Raw genomic sequence first — 24,349 nt, 5'->3', positions numbered from 1 at the left:
AGGCCTACAGGCTTTCTCGGGGGAAAGCTGGACACCCCATGGGGACCAGGCCAGTGCTGGCTGCCACACAAGCAGGGCTAACTTATTGGAAGAGGTGACTGTGCAAGGAGGTAGCAGGGGTGAATCCCAGCCCCTTCCTCTGCCCCACAGACAAACTTGCCCTCTGGGAGGTGGCCCCTGAATCCAGGATCAGTTGTGAGGTCTTCATAGACCCCCAAACTCTTATTTTGGAGCCCAACCCTGTCAGGCCAAATGTACTAAAATATACCGCATTCCACATTAAACATCATTTTCTTGCAGTAAACATTTTGAAAGGATTTTTACAAATTTGGCTTTTGGAATCACTGGATGACAAGGGACTCACTGAATTTACAACTGGTTTTATTTCTAAGCAATCATGCGTGTGCTGGATGCCTTGCCAAGTGAGAAAAAAACTATGTTTGTCTTCAAATATAATGAAATGTTTATGAGTACTACATTTAGCAATCAATGACATTGATACAACAAAGGCATTTAAGTGAACATTTATTAATTTTGGTTTGAAGTTTTCCTTTCATAACTTGAGGACAGTAATGTTTTTTTCTGGTCTCAAGCAGATGCTTTAAAAGTTCATAGGCTTAAGTACCCATAGCACCCATGGAAAAAATCCAGACCTGAGGCCAAGCACTCCCAAGACTGTATCTGAAAGGACGGAAGGAGGTTCCTCCATGAAGCAGAAAGGAAAATGCCCAGTGTTGGCCGGTCACAGTGACTCACGCCTGTAATTCCAGCACTTTGGGAGGCCGAGGTGGGCCGATCACCTGAGGTCAGGAGTTTGAGACCAGCCTGGCCAACATGGCGAAACCCCATCTCTACTAAAAATATGAAAAATTAGCCAGGCATGGTGGCTCATGCCTGTAGTCCCAGCTACTTGGGAGGCTGAGGCAAGAGAATCACTTGAACCCTGGAGGTGGAGGTTGCAGTGAGCTGAGACCCCACCACTGCACTCCAGACTGGGCAACACAGCAAGACCCCATCTCAAAAAAAAAAAGGAAAAAAAAGAAAATGCCCAATGTCGGAAAGAGGACAGTGTGTCTCCATCTGAGACAGTTGTGTACTGACTTCAAAGTCCAGCATCAGTTGATCTATCCCAGGGCCACTTGCTCAGATAACTGTGACAGGTGACATTTATGAAGCACTTACTCATGTGTCCCAGGCCTTGGTCTAAGCACTTCAGATGCATTAGTTCATTTAAGTCTGGAAACAACCCTGTGAGATAGGTACTATTTTTGTTCTTGTTATTATTACTATTATTATTCCTATTTTACAAATAAAAATCCCGAGGCTTCAGGAGGCTAAGTCACTTGCCTAGGAGCTGATGGGGGAGGCGTGGAGGCACAGCCCTAGGACAGCCTGAGTCCTGATTCCCATGATACTGTGCCTGCACCAGGGTGGAATTCCTTCACGTCCCTAGCCTGAGGGAGACACCTGTGGCAAAGGAGGCCTCCTCACTGAGCTCCTGAACCAGCCCCCTCCTGCTTGAGGACACCTAAGATGCCTGGTGGCTTCAGCTCAGCTTTCTGGAAGTTAGCCAGGGAGCACACAGCTACTGATGAACACAAAACAGAGTAAAAAGACAATAAAATCAAAGAAAGATGCTCGAAATGGCTGCAGTACCCCCAGCATCCTCTTTTCTCTCACAGATGTTTTAAGTGGCCTTTACTTGGCAGGATGGCCCTTCCAAGAACGTTACAAAGACCAGAGAATCATAAAAGAAAAGTATGATAAATATGACCACATAAAAGTGTAACACTCCTTCATGGCCAAAGTTGAAAGACAAATAGGAGTCAGGAGGCATCTCTCCAAGAAGCCAGCAGCCTTAAATCACACCAAATGCCTTTAGCGTGAGACCCAGGACAGGGAGCAGACTTTTCTCCAATTGCTGCTGGCAGTGTGACATCTCCCTTTCACGCACCCTTCCCCAGAGCAGTCCCAGAGCACACCCAAGGGCAGCTCTCTTCCCAGGGACGATAGCTGGGGGAAGTTTTTCTCATAGCCAAAAGAGCAGACCTGCTGTGTGTCCCGCCTCTCCCTTCCTCTCACCCCAGTTCCTCCCTCCAGCCACCACTAGGTGACACTACAACTCCATTGGAATCCCCTTTGTCTCTGACAAACGTTTTTGGGGAGCCCTCAAGCCATTCAAAACACCTTAAAAATGTTTACCAGAGCCAGGCGCGGTAGCTCACACCTGTAATCCCAGCACTTTGGGAGGCCGAGGCGGGTGGATCACCTGAGGTTGGGAGTTCGAGACCAGCCTGACCAACATGGAGATACGCCGTCTCTACTAAAAATACAAAATTAGTGGGGCGTGGTGGCGCATGCCACTGAGTAGCTGGGTGGTGCATCCCAGCTACTCGGGAGGCTGAAGCAAGAAAATCGCTTGAACCCAGGAGGTAGAGGTTGCAGTGAGCCGAGATTGCGCTATTGCACTCCAGCCTGGGCAACAAGAGTGAAACTCCGTCTAAAAAAAAAAAAAAAGTTTATGAGGCCAGGTGCGGTGGCTCATGCCTGTAATCTCAGAACTTTGGGAGGCTGAGGTGGGCGGATCGCTTGAGCCCAAGAGTTCAAGACCAGCCTGGGCAACATAGTGAGAACTCATTTCTACCAAAGAAACAAAAATTAGCCAGGTGTGATGGTGTGCACCTGTAGACCCACCTACTCAGGAGGCTGAGGTAGGAGGATCACCTGAGCCTGGGGAGGTTGAGACTGCAACGAGCAGTGATCACGCCACTGCACTCCAGCCTAGGCGAGGGAGACCCTGTCTCAAAACAAAAATATATAAATAAATAAATGTTTACGGATTGCTCTTTTCCTCTTTCAAAATGAAAAGAGTTTTGCTGGGAAAACATATACCCTTCTAGTTTCCATTGGCTACTTCATGGTAAAGAAAATATACCGTTGAGGAAACTGGCCCCCTCTTCAATCACTGAGATGTTCCCCTCTGAGTATGTGCCCTTCACTGAGGCCACGTTTTACCTTTCATCCTGAGATGGGGTCTCCGGCAGCAGAGGAGCTCTCCCTGTCATGGTGACCGTAGGACAGAAGGCCAAAGCTCCCTGCAGAGACTCTCTCCCAGGACTGAGGCCGAGGCTCCCCAAACTTCAGCTGAGTCACAGTCCTCCAGAGCACCGCTACTCACACCGGGATGCCCCTCTGGCTGTGTCCAGTTACCCAGTATGGGCATCTGCGTAAGCCCAGCCCCTGGCACTCCGCAGATGCCCAGGGAACGTCTGTCACTACATGGCCAGAGCTTGAGGGTGTGTAGTCAACAACAGAGGTGCTTCCTAGCCTGGCCCTCTGTGCACCCGATCACCCCCAGAGCTGAAACTCTATCCAGGTGCCCTCTTCCCCCAAAGCAGCCTGCCTGTCTTTGCCCCCAGGTCTCTGCATTTGGCCCAACATGTAGTGTCACATGCGATGGTCGCAGGATCTCCTAGCCAGAGCACCAGCCCCGCTTTTCAGGGTCTGGAAACGTCATTTCCGTTTGGGCAGAAAATCTACCTTTATAGTTTCTTAGTCATGTAAGAGGGAAGAGAAAATAATATTCTAAAATTCAGGCTTATTTATCTCTTCTTAGAAAAACAGGAGTTAAAAATATATTATGGTCGGGCACCGTGGCTCATGCCTGCAATTCCAACACTTTGGGAGGCCGAGGAAGGAGAATCACTTGAACCCAGGAGGCTGAGGCTGCAGTGAGCCATGATCGTGCCACTGCATCCAGCCTGGGCAACAGAGTGAGACCCTGTTTCAAAAAGAAAAAAAGTATTATCAACCAGGGAAACAGTTCCATGTTCTGTTCCTCAGTCAGAAACAATGTTAAGATTTAAACCTGATTATTTTGTTTTATGTCAATAATAATACTTTAATATTATTATTATTACTATTTGAGATGGAGTCTCGCTCTGTTGCACCCAGGCTGGAGTGCAGTGGTGGGATCTCCGCTCACTGCAACCTCCGCCTCCCGGGTTCAAGTGATTCTCTTGTCTCAGCCTCCTGAGTAGCTGGGATTATAGGCACACACCACCATGCCCAGCTAATTTTTTTTTTTTTTTTTTTTTTTGAGACGGAGTCTCGCTCTGTCGCCGAGGCTGGAGTGCACTGGCGCGATCTCGGCTCACTGCAAGCTCCGCCTCCTGGGTTCACGTCATTCTCCTGCCTCAGCCTCCCGAGTAGCTGGGACTACAGGCGCCCGCCACCACACCCAGCTAATTTTTTGTATTGTTTAGCAGAGACAGGGTTTCACCATGTTAGCCAGGATGGTCTCGATCTCCTGACCTCGTGATCCACCCGCCTTGGCCTCCCAAAGTGCTGGGATTACAGGCGTGAGCCACCGCGCCCAGCCAATTTTTTTGTATTTTTAGTAGAGACAGGGTTTCACCATGTTGGCTAGGTTGGTCTCGAACTCCCGACCTCAGGTGATCCGCCCGCCTTGGCATCCTAAAACGCTGGGATTACAGGCATGAGCCACCACATCTGGCCTGCTTCATTCTTTTAATGACTGCATGGATCCCATTTTATGGCTGTGTCATATTTTATTTAAACAGTCCCCTGTTGATGAAATTTAGATTGCTTCCAGTTTGATTGTCATTAAAAGAGCTATAATGAACATTCTTGTTTGTTTATCATGGCTCCTTCTGCAAAGCTACCCATGGGATGAATACAGACTTTGTAATTACTAAGTCAAAGGGCATGTGTATTTAAATTTTTGCTTTAAATGTATTGCTAAACTGTTCCATGAAAAACCTACCCATTTGTACTCCAACCATAGATGAAAAGTAGCTATTTCCTTAAGCCTCATCAACACTGGGAAGTATCAATCTTTCAGTTGCTAACAACTTGGCAATTTTTAAAGGCAACTGGTGGTTTCATTTCTTATTTAATTATGAATGAGGATTAGAATTTTTTCAGGATGTTTGGTCACTTTTCTCTCTCTCTCTCTTTTTTTTTTTTTTTTTTTTTTTTTGCAAATAACCTGTTCAAATCCTTTACCCATTTTTCTAGAGGATTGTTCGTCTTTTGGATTGATTTATATGAGCCTTCTGCAAATTAAGAAAAAGAGGCCTTTGTGTGGCAAATACCCTTCCTTCAGTTTGTTATTTTTATTTTGTTTATTGGTATGTTTGCCCATAGAAGCGTCTAGTTTTTATGACTCTTACTTGTCCATCTACTCCTCTACAGCTACTAAATTCTGGGGTCTGTTCACAAAGGCCTTCCTTAGCCTCTGATTATGAATAAATTCCCTTACGTTTTCCTGTAGAATTTTTATGATTTTAATTTTTATGTTGAATCTTTGAACCATGTGAAAATTATTTTGGTATGAAGCATGAAGTAGAGATTGCTCCCGAATGGCTAGCCAGTTGTTCCAGCGCCATCTGTTAGATGGCCCCATTTCATTTCCAGCCTGTCTCTGCCCTTAGGGCTACACGGCTCTGTGGAGTCACCAGAGTGGGGCCCACAGAAGTGCCACGTTGCTTTCCCCGGGTCTGCCAGGACCGCTCAAAGGCCTGTGTCCTCAGGGAAGCAGAGAATCACGCCACCGAGAGACAGAAAGGGCACCACCCTCTGCTAGACACACAGAACAACAGTCTCCCAGTCCTGAGAAGTGGGACGCACGTTCAATGCCTTCCCTGTGAAGGAAAAAGAAAAGAAAGAACTGTCAGGGGAGGGCATACTCACCATATACAAAGTAGGAAGACGGCCACACCCATATGTATGAAAACACACATGCATACACACACCAAATATGTACACATGCACTACGCACATACACATACATGTGTACACACATGCATACACAGGTACATAGACACATCTCTCACACATCACATACAACGAGTTTCTCCAGTAGGGGGCATCTAGTCCTAAACAGCCCTCTCAATAACAGGAACTCCAAGAACGGTGAAGCCAGTGTTTCTCAAATAATATCCAGACTCCTTTGCAAAGATCAAAAAAAACTGGAAGACCCCCAAGAATATATCTGCAAGACTCCAATTTGAAAATAAAACAAAATAACATGAAGAAAGTACCAAAGATTTATTCTATAAAGATCTTCCAATTGCAAATTAACACATATTTACAACTGGTTTTAAAAAAAAAAAAAAGATTAAATCATTATTAAAAAGAAAAATGTAATTTATTTTTAGTCTCTCTTTGTTGCCCAGGCTGGAGAGCAGTGGCATGATCTGGGCTCACTGCAGCCTCCGCCTCCTGGGTTCAAGCAATTCTCATGCCTCAGCCTCAAGAGAGGCAATTCTCAAGCCTCAGCCTCCCAAGTAGCTGGGATTACAGGCATGCACCACTATGCCCGACTAATTTTTTGTATTTTTAATAGAGATGGGGTTTTGCCATGTTGGCCAGGCTGGTCTCAAACTCCTGAGCTCAGGCAATCTGCCTGCCTCGGCCTCCCAAAGTGCTGGGATTACAGGCGTGAGCCACCACGCCCGGCCAGATCTGCAATTTAATATCTTTCCATATGTGTGAGTAAAAGAAGCCTTTCTCCATTTATTGCTGCCTCTAGTTCTCTCTCTACTAGTTCAGCAGGGCCAAGCTCCAGGCAACAAAATGGAATTCTCCTTTTTGCCTTGTCCTTTTATCTTTTTATGTTTTTCTAATTAAAATGTTTTATGATTTTTGCTGGAAATAGTTAAAAATCATTATTATGATTATAGTAATGATTTATTATGTCTACTATTATAAAAGTCGACAATTCAGAAAATAGAGATTTAAAAAAAAATGTAAGCCATCCCCTCTCTTTGACAGATAATATCCCTTTTGTGGTGGGCTTCTTTCTGGCCTGTTTCTTTACTGAAGTATTTCCTGTAAATACCCGGCAAGGGTCAGCCCCGCTGCAGTCACTCAGCACCTGTTGCCCTGCAGGGCTCCAGGGACCCAGGCTGACCTGGTAGCTCTGTCTTACCTCTCAGAGGCTGGAGCTGTGAAAAGGTTGGCCTGGAGTCTTTGACCCAGTTTTCTTCAAAGTGTTCTTCCAGAAGCATTGTCTATTGTTTTCTGAACTCTCAAGGTTAGAGTGGCTGGGGACCCTTAGGACACTCTATCCCTCCCTGAGACTAGAATGGGATTGAGGGGTGCTCATGACCCTCCCAGCCCAGTTAGCTCCCCGCCTGCTCCACACCAGCCCTGCTGGTTCAGGGTCACGAAGCCTGGCCTTGGGCCAGGACAGTCCCCTTTTCTGGTCAGCAGCCCAGTGGGTGACTAAGGCTGAAAGGCACAGATGGAGGATCCCAGCTTCCTCCCTGGCTCTGTCCCCGCCAGGGTATGTGACCTCCAACAGCCCCTCTGGGACTGTACCCACCTGAAGTTGTGGTGGTCCTCCTGGCTTGAAGGGTTTCTCACCCCTGCCCCGCCCTCTCCTCCGCTCAGAGTCAGACTCACAGGGCCACTGGTGGCTCTCCCCATCTTCTCCAGTGCCTCATTTCCCTCACACAGGGAAATCTGTCTCATAGGACCTAGAGTAACGTACAAATATGGAAAATAAAAATACTAAGTGGCCAGGCTCAGTGGCTCATGCCTGTAATCCCAGCACTTTGGAAGGCCAAGGGGGCCAAATCACCTGAGGTCAGGAGTTCGAGACCGGCCTGACCAACATGGCAAAACCCCTGTCTCTACTAAAAATACAAAAATTAGCTGGGCGTGGTGGTGGGTGCCTGTAATCCCAGCTACTTGGAAGCTGAGGCAGGAGAATCACTTGAACCCGGGAGGCAGAGGCTGCAGTGAACCAAGATCGTGCCACTGCACTCCAGCCTGGGTGACAGAACAAGACTCTATCTCATAATAATAATAATAATAAGTAAGACCCAGGTTTCTGTCTGTCTTCATCAGAAGTACAGACCACACAGATGGTTACGAAATTTGCAAGACTTATTTGGGATGATCTGACTTACAATATGGGCCAAGTGACCTTTACAAAATTCGTTTTGCAGGTTTCAGGGGTCCCTCAAACATCTGGGCTGTCATCCTTCGGAGAGACTGGAACTGAGACACAAGGAGAGACCTAGTGATGTGGGAGAGTTAGGAGAAGAAGCAGTGATTTCAAACGCATGCCCCTCACACGGAAGAAGGGCAGGGGGAAAGCCATGCAGGTGTGGGCGTGGCACTTGAGCAGCCTCTCCCATGGGCACCCAGTGGTTAATGCACAATGTTTAGCACGTCGCCCAGGGAGGCCATCCCCTTCCGCTACCCCTTTCATGGCAAATGCTGAAACATCGTTGAAGACTCCTCTCAAGGGTCTCCTCTTCCAGGAAGCCTTCGGTCAGGAATAGGTGCCCCTTCTGGCTCCTCCTAGCCTGAAAGCCAACATGAAATCTCCCTGGGCTGAGCTGAGTCGTCATATTTTGTTGTTGTTGTTGCTGTTGTTTTACTATGCCTGTGAGACAAGTTCAGAGTCATGCTTTTGATCAAGACCAGAAAATATACTACCTTGGCTCCATCAGCATCTTTTCCTCACCACACCCAGAATTTGCCTGTCCCCCGAAGGAAGCTCCAACGGCTGTCAAGCCTGAGCATCCAGACCGTAAAGCAAAGAGAAATGGGCCGGGAGGAATGGAGTGACAGGGCGGGGCCCATTTGCCTAGAGGTGCTTTGGGCTGCCCGGTCACAGAGGGTGACTCACTCCCCCAGACAGGAGGGGAGTGGCACCAGGGGACCATTGGGCTGGGCAGGGGAGCCTTTGTGGTGAGAGCCTGTCCCTGCCTTAAGTGCCTACTGGATCCCGGGAGCCTGGGCTGGGGCCTGGGCACTGCTTCCTCCTTGGCCCCTCAGGCCCTTGGAAGCAGAGAGAGAACCTCTTGCAGATCCCAGGCTCGTCCCCAGCACAGCAGACACCAGGAAGGTGGCCAGAGCCTCACTGAGCCGAACCGACGGCCGCCCACCCACCCAGGCTGGAGCCATGGATAAATTCCGCATGCTCTTCCAGCACTTCCAGTCAAGCTCGGAGTCGGTGATGAATGGCATCTGCCTGCTGCTGGCTGCGGTCACCGTCAAGCTGTACTCCTCCTTTGACTTCAACTGTCCCTGCCTGGTGCACTACAATGCACTCTACGGCCTGGGCCTGCTGCTGACGCCCCCGCTCGCCCTGTTTCTCTGCGGCCTCCTCGCCAACCGGCAGTCTGTGGTGATGGTCGAGGAGTGGCGCCGGCCCGCAGGGCACCGGAGGAAGGACCCAGGCATCATCAGGTGCGGTCCCACACCACTCAGTGACCCATGAGCTTTGCCAGGGGCTCCCCAGCCACCCCACAGGCACTGTCAAGTGCACCCCCAGACCCCAACCATTCTCATTATCAGGGGATTCTCCACCCACCCTACAGGTACTGCCAGGTGCGCCCTCTCCTTTCCCCAACTAGGAATTATCGGCTCACAGAGAGCCACTTGCCAGTTTCCACTCTGGAAACATATTTCTGTTCCTATCGTTTGTCACCTTTCCGTGGCCAGTGCTGTAAACATAGGAATGACACAGGATTCCCAATTACCCAGGCCACTCTAGGGGCTGCGGGAAAACTTCCTCTTTGCCCTCTGAAGCTCTGCTGAAAATCAACTGACAAAAGGCAGATTAATAAGAGAAAAGGCATACAAATTTATTTGATTACCGTTTTATGTGCCACAGAACCTTCAGAATAAAGACCTAAAGATACAGAGGAAATGGTTCATTTTTATGCTTAGGTTCAACAAGGTTTGGATAGCCACGCAGAAATAGAATTGGATTAAAAAAGGGATGAACTGATGTTATAGACGGAGTGGGGAAACTCAGCAAGGCCATCTAGGTTCTTCTTGGCCTCTCTATACAGTGTTCCTTTCTCCCAGACACGGGGCAGGACCCTCTCTAGAAGGGAGTCTTATGATCTACAATGAAACTAGGTAGGTCAGATCATTTCTTTACGGCCAGTTTTCAGACAGAAAGGCGGGGGGAAATTAGAATCATATTTTTAGGTTTTATGGTGGCAGCTTTGGAGAAAAGGAGTTCTGGTTTCTATGACCCACCTTGGGGAAGATGGATTCTAGTTTCTATGGCTAGCCTTGGGGGAAAATAAGGAGCCAGAGATTGGGTGGGGGGGCCAGGCGCGGTGGCTCTCACCCGTAATCCCAGCACTTTGGGAGGTCGAGGCGAGTGGATCACCTGAGGTCAGGAGTTCGAGACCACTCTGGCCAACATGGCAAAACCCCCATCTCTACTAAAAAATATAAAAAATTAGCTGGGCGTGGTGTTGGGCACCTGTGGTCCCAGCTACTCAGGAGGCTGAGGAAGGAGAATCGCTTGAACCTGGGAGGCAGAGGTTGCAGTGAGCTGAAATCGTGCCACTGCACTCCAGCCTGTGCGACAGAGCAAGACTCAAAAAAGACAAAAAAAGAAAAGAAAATGCTAAAGCCACCACTGCCTAGAACATATTTACAGCTCACACTGGGTAGGCCATGCACGCACACACCTGGCACACACCATTGGATGTTTTGTGTACAATCCAATTCAGAAACAACATCTGCATCCGGTGCACCCTCAGCCTCTGTTCCATGTTCTCAGGGATCACATCTCCCTGCAATTCAGCTGTGCAGGGTGGGTCACAGGCACTGGGTGTGTCCTTGGCCTTTTCCTCTGGGGTCCAGTGGGCACAGCTCCACTGGGCTCCTGTCCTGTGGCCAATACCCAGTCGAGGTCACTACAGGCAGGGGCAGAGTTGATCTGGAAAGGCGCCTGAGGCCGGTCAGAGGGTGGGCTCCTGGGATGCCTTGTGGGTAGGGGTGTTAGAGGTGCTGCTTTTGGAGGGTTACTGGGCAGGGCTGTCTTAGCTTAGGCTCTCCTCCAAAAGCAGGCTCTGAAAGAATGTGATAATGAGTGGGCAACTGGGGCTTAATCCTTCAGGGGACCCCCTAAGGGCATGCATAGAACACATCTCAGAATTTTCCCACTGAGGATTTAAGAAGCTGGGATATTTATCCACAAGGCCCCATCCCTCTGGGGTTGAAGGTTGATTTGGGGGTTAACTTTTCAGTGCTTCCAGCCTACCCCTCTCTGGAGCAAAAAATCCTCCAAAGCCCCAGGGGCAGAACAATGCAGATGCTTGAGGTAGGAGGCCCTCAGGCCCTCCAGGTGAATAGAACCAGCCACTGCACCCACAGATGCCTCTGGCATGGGCAGGGCACCAGCAGTGTCTGCTGTAAGGCCTAGGGCAAGAGGAATACCAAGTCCTCAGTGCTCCAGTCCTGGGGATCCCAGGGGCCCCTGCCCTCCTTTCTGCCTGTCTCTGTCACTGGGACCTCTACACTGGGAGCTGCAGTCTGATGTAACCCAGCCTGGGACTTCCCAGCAGTCCATCCTTGCACCTCCCCTGCTGCAGCTGACTTCCAGCTGCCCCTTGACCCCCCTCCTTCCTCTGCTGCCAGGTACATGTGCTCCTCTGTGCTGCAGAGGGCGCTGGCCGCCCCCCTGGTCTGGATCCTGCTGGCCCTCCTTGACGGGAAGTGCTTCGTGTGTGCCTTCAGCAGCTCTGTGGACCCTGAGAAGTTTCTGGACTTTGCCAACATGACCCCCAGCCAGGTACAGCTCTTCCTGGCCAAGGTTCCCTGCAAGGAGGATGAGCTGGTCAGGGATAGCCCTGCTCGGAAGGCAGTGTCTCGCTACCTGCGGTGCCTGTCACAGGTAACTGGGGTGATCCTCCCCCGGCCCTTGCACCCTCACAAATCCCCCGCATTGGTTCTGGAGTGGGGTGAGGGGGTGGTGAGGAGGGACAGATGATGGGCTCAGCCCATTCCCAGGAGGCAGGGAAGTGCTGGAGACCACTGCTCTGCCTTGCCTGCGCCCACTGCACACCTTCTTCCCACCCGTGAGAAATAATACTAATCTCCACTTATTGAGCATTTATGTGCCAGGCACTGCAGTGAGCATTTTATATGTATTATTTCATTTACTTTGTGGAACAACCATTATCATCCCATTCTCCAGGTGAGGAAGCAGGCTCTGAGAGTTTAGTTCATAAGGCCAAAGTCACAAAGCTTATAAGAGGCAGAGCAGGGATCGGAAGGAGTGTCATTATTCCTCTTAACCACCTTCCAACAATGCAGGCTCTCTCCAGATGCTGATCTTCCCAAAAGGCACCAACTCTATTATCTTGGGGGACAAACCCCAGCTCTACCCCCAGCCTAGACTCCAGATTCCACCACCACTGCTCCTACAGCCCCAGCACTGAGTTGTGTCCACCAAAAAGTATTTATGTGAACCCACTACACACGGAGCACCACTAGGGCTATAGATAATAAACACACAGCCCCTGCCCCTTGGGAAGTCTGACAGGCTCATGGGCTGGCCAATGGTGCGGTGGAGGGAGGACCCAGGTGCAGGATGCACTTGATTCTGGCTCAGACTGTGACCGTGGCCATGGGACTACCCCTCTGGACCTCAGTTTATCATGCAAAATACAGGGGAGCTTGGTCTCCTCCATCTTGATGGTCCCTGCAAGCTTCAAAACTCTAGGCTTTCCCTAGTTCGGTGGAAAGAGCATGGAATTTGCAGTGAGACCGGGGTTTGAATCCTGACTCAGCTGTAAATTATCAGTCATGTAAAGTTTAGTAAGTTGTTTGGTTTTCTACTCTCGTGTATAAAATACTCACCTTAAATCTGGTGATGTTGGGGGAGTCCTGTGAGATGCCAAATGAGAGAGCTTTATAAATCGTGGAAATCACTTCTGTAAATGATAAGGATTCAAATATGTCCCTGTGGTTTAGAGACGTGACTTCCCTGCTCCAGGTCCACACAATTGCATCAGGTCTCAAGCTGGGCCTTAAAGAGACTATGGCTTTGGAAGGTAGAGAGGAGGGAGAGGAGTCTGCCAGGTGTGGGCCCCAGCTTTAGAGAACTACTTCAGTTTGTCCTCATTCCTGGCTGGGAACACTGTCCCCTGTTCATATTGTGTGTCACTGTCGTTCAGCCTTCAGTCTTGGCCCTCAAAGTCAGGATGGGTGTCCCTCCTCTGGACTCCCTCTCTATGACAAGTACCCAGTCATCACCTATTTAATCATCTATTTCCTTCACTAAGGTATGAGCTCTGTGAGAGCAACGACTGAGCCCCTAGTTCTTAGCACAGTGCCTCCCACAAAATATAGCACAGTGGATGCCTAAATGGGAAGATAGACAGATAAGCACACACAAGGATGACAAAGGACTGGATAAAAAGATGAGGGGGGCCGGGCGTGGTGGCTCACACCTGTAATCCCAGCACTTTGGGAGGCCGAGGCGGGTGGATCACATGAGGTCAGGAGTTTGAGAACAGCCTGGTCAACATGGTGAAACCTCGTCTCTACTAAAAATACAAAAATTTGTTGGGCATGGTGGTGCACATCTGTAATCCCAGCTACTCGGGAGGCTGAGGCAGGAGAATGGCTTGAACCCAGGAGGGGGAGGTTCCAGTGAGCTGAATCACGCCATTGCACTCCAGCCTGGGCAACAGAGCAAGACTCCATCTCAAAAAATATAAATAAATAAATAAAAAGATGAGAGGATGGATGATAGATGGTTGGATGGGGGGGGTGGATGAGTAGATAGATCAAGGGAAGGAAGGAGGAGCATATGAGAGCATGAATGAATGGGAGAAGAGATGGATAGATGATGGCAGATGGAAGGATAGTTAGGAGCTTGACTGGATGGGAAGATGACGAATTTACAGTAAGACAAGAGGATGGACGATTGGATAGGTGGAGAGATGATTGAATGGGTGGATAGATGCAAGGATGAGAGAATGAATGGAAGGGAGGATAGATGAATGGATGAAGGATGGTTGGCAGGACGGATGACTGAATAGGAAAGTGGATAGATTTGAGGAAGGATGGATGGGAAATGTAAAAGGAGGGACTTTGGAATACCTTTGCCACACTATACAGGACAATTCCTCAAGTAGCAGATGCTCTAAGAGTTAATTAAATTTACAAGGACACAGGGATACAAAAGAGGACATGTAATCTGATGATCACACAATTTTCTTTGCGTTCATTCTTCTCAATTTATTTTATTTGGTCCCATTTCATTCAATACTCTGATTAATGAATTATGATGTTTGGAGTGGTATACTGCAGTTAAATTCTCTAAGGAGTATTTGAATCCATTGGAAAATGAAGAATATTATTATGTAGACATGATCAAATTAAATATGCAACATTCATATACGTATTCATAAATACATATGTATATAGGATTAGGCCCCACTCACATCTAACCTCGGGCCTCCTTACTTTGCAGGCCATCGGCTGGAGCGTCACCCTGCTGCTGATCATCGCGGCCTTCCTGGCCCGCTGCCTGAGGCCCTGCTTCGACCAGACAGTCTTCCTGCAGCGCAGATACTGGAGCAACTACGTGGACCTGGAGCAGAAGCTCTTCGACGAGACCTGCTGTGAGCATGCGCGGGACTTCGCGCACCGCTGCGTGCTGCACTTCTTTGCCAGCATGCGGAGTGAGCTGCAGGCGCGGGGGCTGCGCCGGGGCAATGCAGGCAGGAGACTCGAGCTCCCCGCAGTGCCTGAGCCCCCAGAAGGCCTGGATAGTGGAAGTGGGAAGGCCCACCTGCGCGCAATCTCCAGCCGGGAGCAGGTGGACCGCCTCCTAAGCACGTGGTACTCCAGCAAGCCGCCGCTGGACCTGGCTGCATCCCCCGGGCTCTGCGGGGGTGGCCTTAGCCACCGCGCCCCTACCTTGGCACTGGGCACGAGGCTGTCACAACACACCGACGTGTAGGGTCCTGGCCAGGCTTGAAGCGGCAGTGTTCGCAGGTGAAATGCCGCGCTGACAAAGTTCTGGAGTCTTTCCAGGCCGTGGGGACCCCACGGCAGGCACCCTAAGTCTTGTTAGCCTCCTTTTTAAAGTAGCCCAATCTCTGCCTAGTTTCTGGGTGTGGCCTCCAGCGCGCTTCACAAACTTTAATGTGGACTCGGTTCACCGAGGGCCTTGTTAAATACAGGTTCAGACAGTGTAGCCAGGACCGAGTCTGAGATTCTGCATTTTAAACAAGCTCCTGGAGGCTGATGTGCTTTTGGTCAGTGAACCAAACTTTGAGTAGCAAGAATCTAAGTAAATCTGCCATGGGTTCTGGGTTCTAGATGTCAATTCTAAATAATAATAATGACCTTAGTCTGCTGCCTCGATAGTTTCATTTGTGTAATTGTCTTTTATTTTTGAAACAAAGTTTTGCTCTGTCGCCCAGGCTGGAGTGCAATGGCGCGATCTCGGCTCACTGCAACCTCTGCTTCCTCGGTTCAAGCGATTCTCCTGCCTCAGTCTCCCGAGTAGCTAGGACTACAGGCATGCGCACCCGGCTAATTTTTGTATTTTTAGTAGAGACAGGGTTTCACCATGTTGGTCAGGCTGGTCTCGAACTCCTGACCTCAGGTGATCCACCCGCCTCGGCCTCCCAAAGTGCTGGGATACACAAGCGTGAGCCACCATGCCCGGGCTTGTGTCTTTAATTCTCTGGGGTTTCTAGCAGCTTATACCAAGTTTCTCATAGCAAGTTCTAGCAAGCTCTGCTAGTTGAGTTCCTCTTGAAACCACTAGTTAGTGCCTCTTGCTGGCTACTACAGATGACTACTTTTATATTTTCCTGTTGAGGGGATATTTCTGTGTTTGAATGTCAAGGGGCTGACTCTCCCAGCTCCTACCTTCCCAGGCCCCACCAATTCTGGCCAACCAAGGCCAAACAGCCCTGCCTGGGTCCTCCTCCTTCAAGATTCAGTTCCTCTCAGCCTTCTGCTCTCCTGCAGCGGGGGCAGGTGCTCCTCCCTCACCTTCCATGCACCACCTGCCCCACCGCTAGCCTGAGCCCTGGGCTCAGCAAGGTCCCTTCCTAAGATGACCCCCTCCCCTAGACATTCCCAGGGGTATCTACTGCTGCCCTTAGCAAGAGGTTAGCACCCTGGTGAAGATTTCCTCAGAGCAAAGTAGGAGTGTGGGTTCTAGCTCAGGGATAAAAACCCTTGAAATGCCGGTGTTAGTTCTGCTGGAAAAACTGCCACTCCAGGCCGGGTTCAGTGGCTCATGCCTGTAATCCTACACTTTGGGAGGCCGAGGCGGGTAGATCACCTGAGGTCAGGAGTTTGAGATCAGCCTGGCCAATATGGTAAAATCCCGTCTCTACTAAAAATATAAAAATTAGCCGGGTGTGGTGGTGGGCACCTGTAATCCCAGCTACGCAGGAGACTGAAGCAGGAGAATAGGTTGAACCTGGGAGGCAGAAGTTGCAGTGAGCCAAGATCGCGCCACTGCACTCCAGCCTGGGCAACAAGGGCGAAACTCTGTGTCAAAAAACAAAAAAACAAAACTGCCACTCCATCTCTGGCAGCCCGAACAGGAAGGGTTTGGGGAAGATTTAGCCTTTGCTCTCCTCTGGGCCTCTGCCCCTCCCTGATGACTCATCCAGCCCCCACTCCCTACCCCCACCCCCAACACCCTGTGGTCGCCTCCATCAGCACAGATGGTGGCCACAGGAAGCAGACCTGGGTTCACCCCATGCTTTTCTACTTCCTCAGCACCCCAGGAAGTACAGGGGCCCCTGGATGCCCCCCACCCTGGAGCCTGCCCCCTTCATCAGGCAACTTTTGTGCTCCTGGGCTCTTGACAAGAGACCTTGTGAGACCCGAAAATCCCTGCAGCTCAGCCTCCCCCGACCTACTGGCTGCGGTCAGGCCATGCAAATGTCGGAAATAGTGCTGGGTTGGGACCTGGTTTAGGCAAAGCTTTAGCAGTGATAGGGTGTGGAGGAAGGAGGGAGACCTTGGCGGCGGCCCAGTCTGCATGAGTGAGGTCCCAGCCTGGGGAAAGGAGGCTCAGGGAGGCTGCTTTGGGCTCCAGGGAAGCAGCATCTGGAGTAAAAAGTCGCCGACTGCAATCAATACTCTTATCTTCCTATACTGAGCACTTATAGAGCACCTACTGCATAGAAAGCACTGTGCCAGGGAATAGGGAAGAGAGAATACACTGATGACCTGCCCCTGCCCTCAAGGAGCTGTGCTTCCTTGTGCTGAGGAAGTAGAAAAGCATGGGGCGAACCCGGGTATGCTGTCTGTGGCCAACATCTGTGCTGATGGAGGCCATAGCAGGACGTCTGCGGGGCAGGGATGGGGTAGAGAGGGGAGTCATCAGCAAGGGGCAGAGGCCTAGAGGAGAGCAAAGTCTACATCTTGGCACTTTATTAGGGGGACAGAGGTGAGTACAGAAATTATGAGAATCCAAAGCATAAGGTGTAAGTGATCTAATAAAGGCAAACCAGGTGCCATGGGGAGTTAGCAGGGAGAAGGAGGCTCTCAGTGGGGCGGGGGTTGAGGGTGAGGGAAGGCTTCACAATGAAGGTGCCATTTGAATGGGTCTTAAGGATGGGAAAGATTTGGACATGTGGAAAGAAAGATGGAGGGAGGGTGCAGAGCATCTCAAGGGAAGAAATAAGAACAAAGGCATAGGCTGGGCGCAGTGGCTCACGCCTGTAATCCCAGCACTTTGTGAGGCTGAAGCGGGCGGATCACGAGGTCAAGAGATCAAGACCATCCTGGCCAACATGGTGAAACCCCGTCTCTACTAAAAATACAAAGCTTAGCTGGGTGTGGTGGAGCACGTCTGTAATCCCAGCCACTCGGGAGGCTGAGGCAGGAGAATCGCTTGAACCCTGAAGGCGGAGGTTGCAGTGAGGCAAGATCACGCCACTGCAACAGCCTGGTGACAGAGCAAGACTCCGTCTCAAAAAAAAAAAAAGAAAAAGGAACAAAGGCATAAAGTTGGGCAAGGGGCAAAGCATGTTCTATTTATTTATTCAGCAGATACTCACTGAATGCCTAGAGTGGCCAGAGAGCAAGACAGATAGTTCTGTCTTAATGGAGCTTCGAGTCTGGAAGTGGATAGAGAGATAAAACAAGTGAACAAAGAGCCAAGTGGAGAGGCATGCAGTCCAGCCTGGCAAAAGCAAAAGACCTTGGCCAGAGGGCCCAGGAGTCCCATCAAACCATGTTCCCTGAGCTCGGTACCTGGGAATACATTCTCTTGATCTTCTGTCCTTGACAGCTTTCAAATGTATCTTTCATCCTCTTCTGTCCCCAGTGTGGTTTCAAACCCCTCACCGTGTCCTGTATGTGGACCTTCTTCGGGAGACACAGTGGCAAGCCAGACAAGGCAGGAATGTACTGGAGGCATGGGCATTGGCTGTTCCAGTCCCCACCCTCATGCTGCCTGGGCAGCTGTGGTCCCCATCTCAGCTAGGTTTGCAAGAGGAGGGGAAGATGGCAGGAGACTTGAGGATTTAGCTCAGGACTTTGATTTTATCCTGCTGGCAATTGGGAATGAGAGACAAGTGCTTGGTGGCAAGGTCAGGAAGAGTGATGATATTTGGGGTTCACACATGTGGAGAGGATGCTGAAGCTGCAGAAATGGATAGGGCCATCGAGAGGAGGGGCTTCTGTGAGATGAGGAAGGACTAAGACTTTTAAAGTTCTGGAGTGGGAAGAGGAGGCAACAAGGGAGAGAAAGGGTTAGTCACAGAGGCAGAGTCCAGAGGCAGGCCAGGGAGGAGAGAATCCCTAGACGGGGGAAGGAGGACCAACAAATCTAGTGGTGCTTCTGAGCAACCGAGCAGGGGAAGGACAGAGGGAAAGTCACCGGTTATTGCCAACTTCCCAGGGGAGGGGACTGCTCACCCAGGGAGGTAGTCCTGGCCAAGCAGATGGGTAGGTTTCTATATGATTCGTATAAATCCCTGGGCACCTGCCCCAATTTGTGACGATGATACAAGAGAGACCTTCAGCATCCCCATACGGGGAAGGGCACTGGGACCCAAAGACTACAATGGGAGCAGAGAAATCGTGTCCACACTAACATGCTCCCATTTCCAAGGCTCTCATTGAAAATGAGGGAGTCCAGCCAGGCATGGTGACTCATGCCTGTAATCCCAGCATGTTGGGAGGCCAAGGCAGGCAGATCACTGGAGCCCAGAGTTCAAGACCAACCTGGGCAAGATGGCAAAACCCCATCCTAAAAAAAAAAGATGACTGGATGCGGTGGCTCACGTCTATAATCCCAGCATTTTGGGAGGCCGAAGTGGGTGGATCACCTGAGGTCAGGTGATCGGGACCAGCCTGGCCAACATATAGTAAAATGCTGTCTCTACTAAAAATACAAAATTAGCCAGGTATGGTGGCGCACACCTGTAATTCCAGCTACTTGGGAGGCTGATGCAGGAGAATCGTTTAAACCCAGGAGGCAGAGGTTGCAGTGAGGCAAGATCACACCATTGCACTCCAGCCTGGGCAACAAAAGCAAAACTCTGTCTCAAAAAAATAAAAATAAAAAAGAAGAAGAAAATGAGGGAGTTCTCTGTTTGGGGCTCAGCTCTGCCCAGCCCTTTGCAGCCACATGAAATGACTTCTCCCTGCCTGTGCTGACTGGCTGTGATGGGGGAGGCTGAGGCATGTGGGATGGGGAGAGGTCCCTGAGGGTCTAGAGGAGGCCAGTCGGAGGTGATCTGGTGGCAGCTGCCATGGCAGTGAGCTTCGTACAGGCATTTCACCCCGCACTCATCTCACAGAGTTGTGCCGTCTCAGAAGTGTACTGTCTTATCTCCTCGCGGAACTGTACAGGTGAGTGCTGTCTCCCTTTTGTGTCTGAATTCTTGCCTCCCTACAAATTTATCTTGGTCCAAGATTCACTTCTTTTCTTCATTCACTTGTTCATGTATTCCTTCATTCACACTTATTAACTGAGCATCCTTTATGTACTAGGCACACTGTGCTAAGCATTGGGCATATGGTAGTGAATAAAACAGATGAGGACTTTTAGCCTTTATGGTACAATGGGAGCCCCTAGATATTAAATAACCCACCCACCTCAAAAAGTAATTACAATTGTATTCAGTGCTGGAAGGGGAAGTACATCCAGGGGGCTCTGAAAGCCTGTATCCTGCAGGACTGGTCTCAGCAGAAGGTTCAGGAAGGCCTCTCTAAAGAAGGAACTGTAGGGGAGGGAAAACGTCCCCTTCACCCAATGAAAGTTCACTGAAAATCACTGACAAAAAGCAGATCAACAGGAGAAAAGCATACATATTAATTTGATGCCAGAGTTTTTAGGATGAAGACCCAAAGACACAGAGGAAATGGTCCATTTTTATGCTTAGGTTCAACAGAGTATGGAAACAACCACGCAGAAATACGATTGGACAAAAAAGATCTGAGCTGATGTCACAGACTTGGGGGGAAAACCCAGCAAGGCTTCCGTTAAGGTTCTCCCGGGCCTCTCTGGGCAGCACTTCTTTCTCCCATGGGACAGGAGGAAGGGGATCTTGTGACCTGCAACCTAACAAGGCAGGTCAAATCATTTCTTTATGGCCAGTTTTCACACAGAAATGTTGGGGGTGGAGATTAGAGTAATTTTTTTTTTTTTTCTTGAGACAGAGTCTCTCTGTCACTCAGGCTGTACTGCAGTGGTGTGATCTCAGCTCACTGCAACTTCCGCCTCCCAGGTTCAAGCGATTCTCCTACCTCAACCTCTCGAGTAGCTGGGATTACAGGTGCCTGCCACCACGCCCGGCTAATTTTTGTATGTTTTAGTAGAGACGGGGTTTCGCCATGTTGGCCAGGCTGGTCTTGAACTCCTGACCTCAGGTGATCCACCCGCCTCGGTCTCCCAAAGTGCTGGGATTACAGGCGTGAACCACTACCCGCTGGGCCTAGAGTAATATTTTTAGGTTGTATGGTTTTATGGCTGGCTTCAGGGAGAAAGGGGTTCTGGTTTCTATGACCCACCCTGGGGAAGAGGGAGTCTAGTTTCTATGGCTAACCTTGGAGGAGAATGAGGGGCGAGAGACAGGGGCACAGGTGAGGGTCAGAAAGAGTCCTTTGCTTCTGAGACCTTCATTTCAGGGTATTGTTTCTCTGAGCCCCAACACAATCATTACACTGAGACCTTAAGGATTCACAGGAATTTCTCTGGTGAGAATAGGGGGAGAAGTATTGCTGGAATGTGCAGAACTTGTGCAAAGGCCTGAGATGGGAAGGGGCTTGTCCTGTTTGAGAAACTGAAAGCAAACTGGTCAGCTGGGGAGGAGGCATCGGGAGGAGAGTTGCCCTGGTACCAGCTCTCACATGGTCCTACAGGCCCTGTTAAGGATTTTGGACTTAAACCGTTGGAGGGAATTAAGTAGTAATTTAGTCAGATGTTCACTTTTAAAAGATTCCCCTGGCCACAGCCTGGGAGTGTCTTGAAAGGGGCCCATGTGAATTGCAGAAGGCAGGCAAGAACTGATGGGGCTTGGATTAGGGTGGAGATGGAGAGAATCGATAGATTAGAGGTATTTCAGAGTTAGAATGGACTCTGGGTGTCTTGCTTAAAATCTCACACATAAACATTGTATTAGGCTAGGCTGGGAATGTAAAATAAAATACACTAGGCTGGGCGCGGTGGCTCACGCCTGTAATCCCAGCATTTTGGGAGGCTGAGGCAGGCGGGTCACCTGAGGTCATGAGTTTGAAACCAGCCTGGGCAACATGGTGAAACCCCGTCTCTACTAAAAATATAAAAATTAGCTGGGGGTGGTGGTACATGCCTATAGTCCCAGCTACCTGGGTGGCTGAGGCAGGATGAATCACTTGAACCTGGGGAGTGGAGGTTGCAGTGAGCCGTGATCATGCCACTGCATTCCAGCCTGGGCAAGAGAGTGAAACTCCATCTCAAAAATAAATAAATAAATAATAAAATACAGTAAAAATAAAACAAAAGTGTCAGTAGCTTAACACAATAAAGATGTATTTCTCACTCAAGCAAAACCTGATGTAGTTAAACAGGGAAGGGAGGTTGAAGAAGGGGGATCTGCCCCACACAGTCGCTTGGGGACCCAGCTGACACTGCCATCTTGTGATGCCACCATCAAGACACATGATATGGCTGGGTACAGTGGCTCACGCCTATAACCCCAGCACTTTGGGGGGCCGAGGCAAGGGAGGATCCATTGAGGCCAGGAGTTGAGACCAGCCTGGGCAACATAGCAAGACCCTATCTCTACAAAAATTACAAAAAAAAAAAAAAACCCTAGCTGGGCGTGGTGGTGCACACCTGTAGTCCTAGCTACTTTGGAGGTTGAGACTTAATGATCTTTTGAGTCCACGAGTTCAAGGTTACAGTGAGCTGTGATTGTGCCACTGCACTCCAGTCTGGGAGATGGAGCAAGAACCTGTCTCTAAATAAACAAATAAAAATTTAAAAGACCCACAGTATTTCCCAGAAGCAGGTCCTGAGAAAAGGAAATGAGTGCACATAGCTTATAAGAATGTTGCTTCCGGGGAACCCTGCAAGGAACAGAAGTGATACTGGAGAGGGAAGAAAGCCAACCAAGGGTAGAGCCGCCAGCCAGTTACTACCGTGGGCAACCAGAGCATGATCCGACCGGGGAGCTCGGGGAGAGCACAACACGAGTAACCGCTCCCCAGGAACGAGGAGGTGGCATGTCTTCACCAATCTCTGGCTGTCACTGGCTAGGGCACTAGCTGGGCACCTCCAGGTTTCCTTGGGCCAAATGTAAACCCAGTGCCAGAAAAAAAAAGCCCTCAGGCAGACAGTCTGGGCTGTTTTTAGTGAGCAACCTTTAGAAGATAGTGGTGAAAGGCTGGGTGTGATGGCTCAAGACTGTAATTCCAGCACTTTGGGAGGCCGAGGCGGTTGGATCCCTTGAGGTCAAGAGTTTGAGACCAACCTGGCCAACATGGTGAAACCCCATCTCTACTAAAAATACAAAAATTAGCCAGGCGTGGTGGCGGGCACCTGTTGTCCCAGATACTTGAAAGGCTGAGACAAGAGAATCACTTGAACCCAGGAAGCCGAGGTTGCAGTGAGCTGAGATCACACCACTGCACTCCAGCCTTAGCGACAGAGTGAGACTCCATATCAAAAAAAAAAAAAAAGAAAGAAGGTAGTGGTGAGGTCTGAGGGGAGTGGGCGGGGCACAGAGGTCTGTTACACCTGGTGTCCATGGCCACCCTCAGAGAAGAATGGGAAGATGGTAAAGGATGAGGGTAGATTCTGCACCAGAACTCAGGCACAAGGCCCCAGCCTCCCTGGCACAGAGGCTGAGAATTATAAGGGAACACGTGAATGACTTGGTGAGTGCTACCATTTTGCCACAGCATACACCCCCATAGGGTTTGGCTGATGAAGGAGAACGTAGCATTTTATCTTTCTCAGGTAGAGACTTCATACCTCTGATAACCCAGCCTACCAGCACCTGAGATGCCTTGGCAGCCACATTTGCTGTTGGCTCCTGCCTCCTCCACTGCCCCAATCTCTGGACGCACCCCACACTCACACTCTCCTACGCAAATTGGGCATTTTCCTAAAAGTACGGCACCCACTGTCCACAGGAGCCTCCTTTGCATGCTGCTTTTCATGACACCCCTAACTCCTCCAAACCAGAGGGCACTCACCAGCTGTGCCCTCTGGGTGCTTGGACAACAGCCCCAAGGCCAGGAAGCAGGAGGCGAGTGTACATCCCACAGTGGTGACCATGGCTGAGTTTGCCACCATGCTCCAAAATGTGTGTGACATCCTGCTTTTTATTTATTTAGTCGTGACCTGGGAGTTATAGGGAAGAGATGGAGAAGACTAAGCACTGATAAATGCACCACCAAAGACCCCTACTGAAGTTAAACAGAACCATGGGCCCCCAAGAGTCCACCTCCTAATGTCTAGAACCTGTGAATATGTTACCTTCCATGGCAAAAAGGGCTTTGCAGATGTGATTAAATTATGGATTTTGAGATGAGGAAATGATCCTGGATTAGCCAGGTGGGTCCTGCATGTCCTTATAAGAGAGAGGTAGGGCCCGGCACGGTGGCTCACTCCTGTAATCCTAGCCCTTTGTGAGGCTGAGAGGGGAGGATCACCTGAGGTCAGGGGTTCGAGACAAGCCTGGCCAACATGGTGAAAACCCGTCTCTACTAAAAATACAAAATTAGCCAGGCATGGTGATGCACGCCTGTAGTCCCAGCTACTAGGGAGGCTGAGGCAGGAGAATCACTTGATCCCAGGAGTCGGAGGTTGCAGTGAGCTGAGATCACATCACTGCACTCCAGCCTGGGTGACAGAGTGACTCCATCTCAAAAAAAAAAAAAGAGAGAGAGAGAGAGAGAGGTAGGAGGAGGGTGAGAGTCAGAGAAGGAGCTGTGATGAGGGAAGCAGAGGTTGGAGGAATGCGATGTCACAAGCCAGGGAATGTGGGTGTCCTCTACACAGTAGAGAATACGAGGAAATGGATTCTCTTCTAGAGCGTCCAGAAGGAACAGCCTGCCAGCCACTTGATGT

The 24,349-nt window shown here is 49.9% G+C and overlaps 1 protein-coding gene and 1 long non-coding RNA gene across 2 annotated transcripts in view, besides 5 other annotated features; both read left to right on the top strand.

Annotated features, from left to right (window-relative positions):
• The window catches only part of NEURL1-AS1 (NEURL1 antisense RNA 1), a 37,840-nt gene extending 29,466 nt beyond the window's left edge, over positions 1–8,374 (top strand). Inside the window, exon 4 of the long non-coding RNA NR_120675.1 lies at positions 7,980–8,374. This is a non-coding gene — a long non-coding RNA (NEURL1 antisense RNA 1). The remainder of the gene's footprint in view (positions 1–7,979) is intronic.
• Positions 8,375–8,736: 362 nt separating this feature from the next.
• On the top strand, positions 8,737–15,173 carry CALHM3 (calcium homeostasis modulator 3). Its single transcript, NM_001129742.2, has 3 exons — positions 8,737–9,231; positions 11,428–11,683; positions 14,273–15,173. Exons 1-3 carry the CDS (start codon positions 8,945–8,947, stop codon positions 14,762–14,764), a joined length of 1,035 nt encoding a protein of 344 aa, NP_001123214.1. The 5' UTR covers positions 8,737–8,944; the 3' UTR covers positions 14,765–15,173.
• Positions 10,179–11,073: an enhancer, noted in NCBI's record as "H3K27ac-H3K4me1 hESC enhancer chr10:105236661-105237555 (GRCh37/hg19 assembly coordinates)". NCBI's record gives its function as "activates a minimal SCP1, AML or CMV promoter by ChIP-STARR-seq in primed H9 embryonic stem cells {active_cell/tissue: H9 hESC(primed)}" and the evidence as "EXISTENCE:reporter gene assay evidence [ECO:0000049][PMID:30033119]".
• Positions 11,074–11,968: an enhancer, noted in NCBI's record as "H3K27ac-H3K4me1 hESC enhancer chr10:105235766-105236660 (GRCh37/hg19 assembly coordinates)". NCBI's record gives its function as "activates a minimal SCP1, AML or CMV promoter by ChIP-STARR-seq in naive and primed H9 embryonic stem cells {active_cell/tissue: H9 hESC(naive and primed)}" and the evidence as "EXISTENCE:reporter gene assay evidence [ECO:0000049][PMID:30033119]".
• Positions 16,831–17,030: an enhancer, noted in NCBI's record as "active region_3964". NCBI's record gives its function as "activates an Ori minimal core promoter by ATAC-STARR-seq in GM12878 lymphoblastoid cells {active_cell/tissue: GM12878}" and the evidence as "EXISTENCE:reporter gene assay evidence [ECO:0000049][PMID:35858748]".
• Positions 20,008–20,067: an enhancer, noted in NCBI's record as "active region_3963". NCBI's record gives its function as "activates an Ori minimal core promoter by ATAC-STARR-seq in GM12878 lymphoblastoid cells {active_cell/tissue: GM12878}" and the evidence as "EXISTENCE:reporter gene assay evidence [ECO:0000049][PMID:35858748]".
• Positions 20,418–20,557: an enhancer, noted in NCBI's record as "active region_3962". NCBI's record gives its function as "activates an Ori minimal core promoter by ATAC-STARR-seq in GM12878 lymphoblastoid cells {active_cell/tissue: GM12878}" and the evidence as "EXISTENCE:reporter gene assay evidence [ECO:0000049][PMID:35858748]".

This window comes from Homo sapiens, chromosome 10 (assembly GCF_000001405.40).
Source record: "Homo sapiens chromosome 10, GRCh38.p14 Primary Assembly".
Lineage (NCBI taxonomy): Eukaryota > Metazoa > Chordata > Mammalia > Primates > Hominidae > Homo > Homo sapiens.
The sequence above is the reverse complement of the archived record's forward strand: the minus strand, read 5'-3'. Positions and strand labels throughout refer to the sequence as shown.